Source organism: Homo sapiens, chromosome 11, assembly GCF_000001405.40.
Source record: "Homo sapiens chromosome 11, GRCh38.p14 Primary Assembly".
Taxonomy (NCBI): Eukaryota; Metazoa; Chordata; class Mammalia; order Primates; family Hominidae; genus Homo; species Homo sapiens.
In genome coordinates, this window is record NC_000011.10 from 109,860,649 (window position 1) to 109,865,066 (window position 4,418).

The 4,418-nt window shown below is 36.8% G+C and overlaps 2 annotated features.

The window, feature by feature from the left end:
• Positions 3,466 to 4,109: an enhancer, noted in NCBI's record as "NANOG hESC enhancer chr11:109734840-109735483 (GRCh37/hg19 assembly coordinates)". NCBI's record gives its function as "activates a minimal SCP1, AML or CMV promoter by ChIP-STARR-seq in naive H9 embryonic stem cells {active_cell/tissue: H9 hESC(naive)}" and the evidence as "EXISTENCE:reporter gene assay evidence [ECO:0000049][PMID:30033119]".
• Positions 3,694 to 3,843: an enhancer, noted in NCBI's record as "active region_5493". NCBI's record gives its function as "activates an Ori minimal core promoter by ATAC-STARR-seq in GM12878 lymphoblastoid cells {active_cell/tissue: GM12878}" and the evidence as "EXISTENCE:reporter gene assay evidence [ECO:0000049][PMID:35858748]".

Below are 4,418 nucleotides of genomic sequence, written 5' to 3' on the forward strand. Positions count from 1 at the left end.
GAACCTGGCAAGAGCACTCCAGGTTCTAGGTTCTAGATCCAGATTTCCTTGTGAAGAGACAATCTAATCAGTTCTGCACTATGATCACAAGTCACCATTGTTAAGTTAAATAAAACTCTTTTTCTTAGTAATATAAACTTATGTTACATGCTATATAAATTGATGTTCCACCCTTGAATATGCTTCTTTATATATATTTATTAACCACATAAAGCTAAAAAACATAAAAGCTGCAACATAAATATTCTTCCTAGGGGGTTTTTCTGCATAGGATGAATTGGCTGTGGTGTCTCTAAATGCAATTTAAATAATGTTTGGACTAAAGGTGGTTTCTTTTCTTGGGTAATATCTCTGCAGCAAATAGGAACATTCCTCACATGTCCAAGAACCTCCCGTGTTTAAAATTGTATAACCTTAAGTTTTGTAAAGAATAACCACAATCTGCCATATCCTGAACCTGTTCTGCACTTACATAACAGTTCCCAAGCAAGATACCACACTGAACTAGACAAGAAATTTAAAGAAGAGCATACTGGTTTGTATGCCATTAGTCTCTAAGACACAAACAGAAAGACTGAACAATTAGGTTAGGACTATAAATTTGGCCTTCACTATTGTCCTAATCACTGTCATCAACATTCAAAAATATCTGTGAAATATATACATGTATGTATATAGGGTGTATGTATACTGTAGAACCCAAATGAGGAACCAAAATATCTGTCAGTATAACTCATTATTTTTTATAATGATTTGGATCTTAGATATTTTGAAAAAACCAATCTTTTCAAAGTTAAGTTGTGTTTTGTTTAAAATGTGTTTTAAAACTATGCTGAGAAAAAAAATTGTGATAAAATCAGGAACATAGCCGGGTGCAGTGGCTCACGCCTATAAGCCCAGCACTTTGGGAGGCCAAGGCGGGTGGATCACTTGAGGTAAGGAGTTCGAGACCAGCCTGGCCAATGTGGAGAAAACCCATCTCTACTAAAATTACAAAAATTAGCTGGGTGTGGTGGCATTTGCCTATAGCCCCAGCTACTTGGGAGGCTGAGGCATGAGAATTGCTTGAACCCAGGAGGTGGAGGTTGCAGTGAGCCAGGATCGCACCATTGCACTCCAGCCTGAGCGACAGAGGGAGACTCTGTCTCAGAAAAAAAAAAAATCAGAAACACTAGTTTGAGAGTTTGTTTATTAATTGCATGCCTACTGTGTTCCAAGAACTGTATTACATGCTGGGAATATAAGATAAAATATGCCATCCTTATTTTTTAAGAGTTCCAAGATTAGACACACTGTCTCTCTCATTCTCTCTCTCTCTCACATACACACACATCCTGCACAGGCTAGTGAGTCCTAACGCACAGGTATAAATGAGCAATTCATTGGGCACATGAAGGAGGAGGAAGAAGAGCACACAAACCACAGTGATTAGGAAGACATATCAGAGTTGTTAGAGTCACCAAAGTATAAAAATGATGTAACTAAATCCTAATCAGAGGATGGGCCAGAAAGCCAAAGAACATATGTAGTGCATCAGCCAAAATGGTGGAGAGAGCCTTGGAAATTTACAAGGCCAGAACCCTCATGTTAGGGTTTAGGCATGAAGAAATTAAGTGACTCATTAAGGTTATAGGAGTTAGAAATTTGGAGCATATAGATGAGGTTAATTTAAACACGTACGCAAGTGCATTTAATTAAGTTTATAAGAACCTTCACATTGATGAGGATATTTTGTAAACAGATCTATCCCACTACAGAGGAATCAAAGGCAAAAGAGAAGGCCTTATAATCTTTGCAACTAAAGAGACCTTGAGTCTAAAAGTATCAAAATCAAGGGCTGAGATTTGGCTTTGAGTCCTCTATGTCTATGATGAGTTCAAGGTTTCTGCTGTCCTCATAGAGAAAACTAAGAGTAATGATTAATGGCAATGACATTTAACCAAGAAATTCTATGTATATCATTGGACTTTGCTTCATATACAATCCCCTATATATATGTGTGTGTGTATGTATATTACTGAAGGTTAGCAATTCGTGGTTAGGTGGTTTTTTATATTGTTTAATTATGTAATTATGTTCATTCATAATTTGTGTTAGATTGTTTTTAAAAGAGTTTATTTTATAACAAAATTAATCAATTGAATAATAATTCCCTCTCTATTGGCTGCCTTGGAGGAAGTTCAGATTATTGACTCATGTAGCCAATGTTAGACACTATTGTTTCCCTGGTAATAGCTATTTGAGATGCAGAGATAATATCAAAGATAAAATAACGTGTCCTGTGAAAGTCTAGGCCAAGGATACAAGAACTTTCTCATACAAATCTGGATTTATGGCTTCTCTTAAAGAGGTGAAAGCTTTAACAAGGCCAGATTCACATTTCCGAATGATAACAACCGGCAAAAGCCAAGTTGCAGCTGCCCCTTCTGATGGTATGAGAACTCTGGTTCACCTCCATTCTCACAAGCCAAGATGAATATTTCTGACCTGGCCCTGTAGACATTTGAGTTTATGATCCCTGTCATAGTCTTATAGACTTAAATCCAGAATTCCAGCAAGCATCACAGATGTTTAATGTTCTCATTCTTTAGAGAAAGGATTTATTTTTATTACATTGGAATAAACTCCACTGCCTTTTTGAAATGTTTTAGTCCTTTGAATTTTAGCCAGAAATTGGAATGCTGACAGTCCTCATTTGTATTAGTGAACTACCTTGTTCTATCAATTTTAGTTTATTATAGAAAATGGATTTGAGAATCTCTAGACTCTAAATTTTAATTCCTAATAATAAATCCATAGCTTTCTGCTCTACCTCTTCTAGCATAATTAAGAAGGAAAGTTAGTATTGGAATTATTGAAGAGTTTGAAGAACAGCTACTTAGAAATGATAATAAACACTTATGTATCTAGTTTATCACCAAAGCAAGACATCCCACGACATTCAGTAATTAATAGTATGACCTATATATTATTGGGAAAATTAATGGAGTACATATTTCAAGTAAAATCCATTTAGTAAATGAAAAATGTTTTAGTTCCACACCATTATCCTCAAAAAGAGGTAAGCCAAAATGAATGAATTGATTCAGTCAGAAAGAGGAATAAGAATCACATAGTTAAGTATGAAGGCTGTTAGAGTCATTTTCACGACATCAGAACTCTGAAGGCCTTTAGGGGTCATGTGGGTAGAGGCTTTCAGGATTAGGAACTTCAGACTCTCCATCATTTGATTTTTTTTTTCCTGCTTTCATTTCAGAAAATAAAACAAAACAAAACTCTTTGCAAATTCTCGCTTAAAGGTTAAGAAACTTTGCTTATTTCTCCTAATTTGGGTATTTTCCCACCTTCCTGAGATGTGCTGTAAGATATCAAAAGCTCAAATATATCATCAAGTAATTTTTATGTGGAAATACTTAAGGCAAATCAAGAAAAAACATGTCAAATTCAAGAAGCTTTGGAATTCTTGAATATGCCCCTATGAAAGCATTGCAAAATGTTAGTGTTTCTCTTTTGAGACAATTCCACAGCATTTTGATGCCTGACCCAGACACACCTCCTACGTAAGTTTCCCTCTCTGGTCAGTGTCATCTCTATTCAACAGACAGGAACTCCAAAGTTCACTCAAGCATTTTAATGATCTCAAGCTGGGTAGCAAGAGCCTGGGGGCTTTTTCTGAGTCATATGGAAACTGCTGCAGGGTGACAATCAGAACCTTACAGAATTATCAAGTGTGAAATGAAGGCAACACCAAAGGAAAGAAATTCTCACTATTTTCCAAGGTAGTGACCTTTTATCTTCTCCACTTCAAAACTTCATTTTGTGACTACGATGCCTATCAATTACAGAGGTCATTTAAACTCTCAAGAGAAAGAAAGAATTCCACCTTGCTAAGCAATCCCTGAGCTCAAAGCTTTGATCACACTTCAAAAGAGAACATCTCACACCAAGATCACCCTCTCTTTTATTGGAGGGACAGGACTGATCTGCCAGTGAGAACAACTGCACGGCTCCAGAGCATCTCAGAGGGTCAGTCTTCCAGGCAGCTGGTTTCTTCTCCCTCTTTTCCTTCATCTGGAATATGAAAGAGTGAATCAGAAAACAATCTCACTCCACACTAATAAAGGAGTAAGTTGAAATAAGGCCTCTAAATGGAAAGGAGACACTAACGAAACACACCCTCCCAAAACCAAAAGGATGAAACCATTTAGAATGGTAGGTAAAGGGTTTCAGCAGCAGTCAAGGAGGCTGGAAACAACCAACAATGTATGTATCCCTCAACAGTCATGAACCTAAGACTCTCAATAATTACTCAATCACGAGGGAGTAAGTGTAGTACATTGGCAAGACTCCAAGCTTTAGAGTCTGAAAGACCTAAGTTTAGATACTGGCTCTGTTGCAGATGGCTTTGTGCTTTGAGT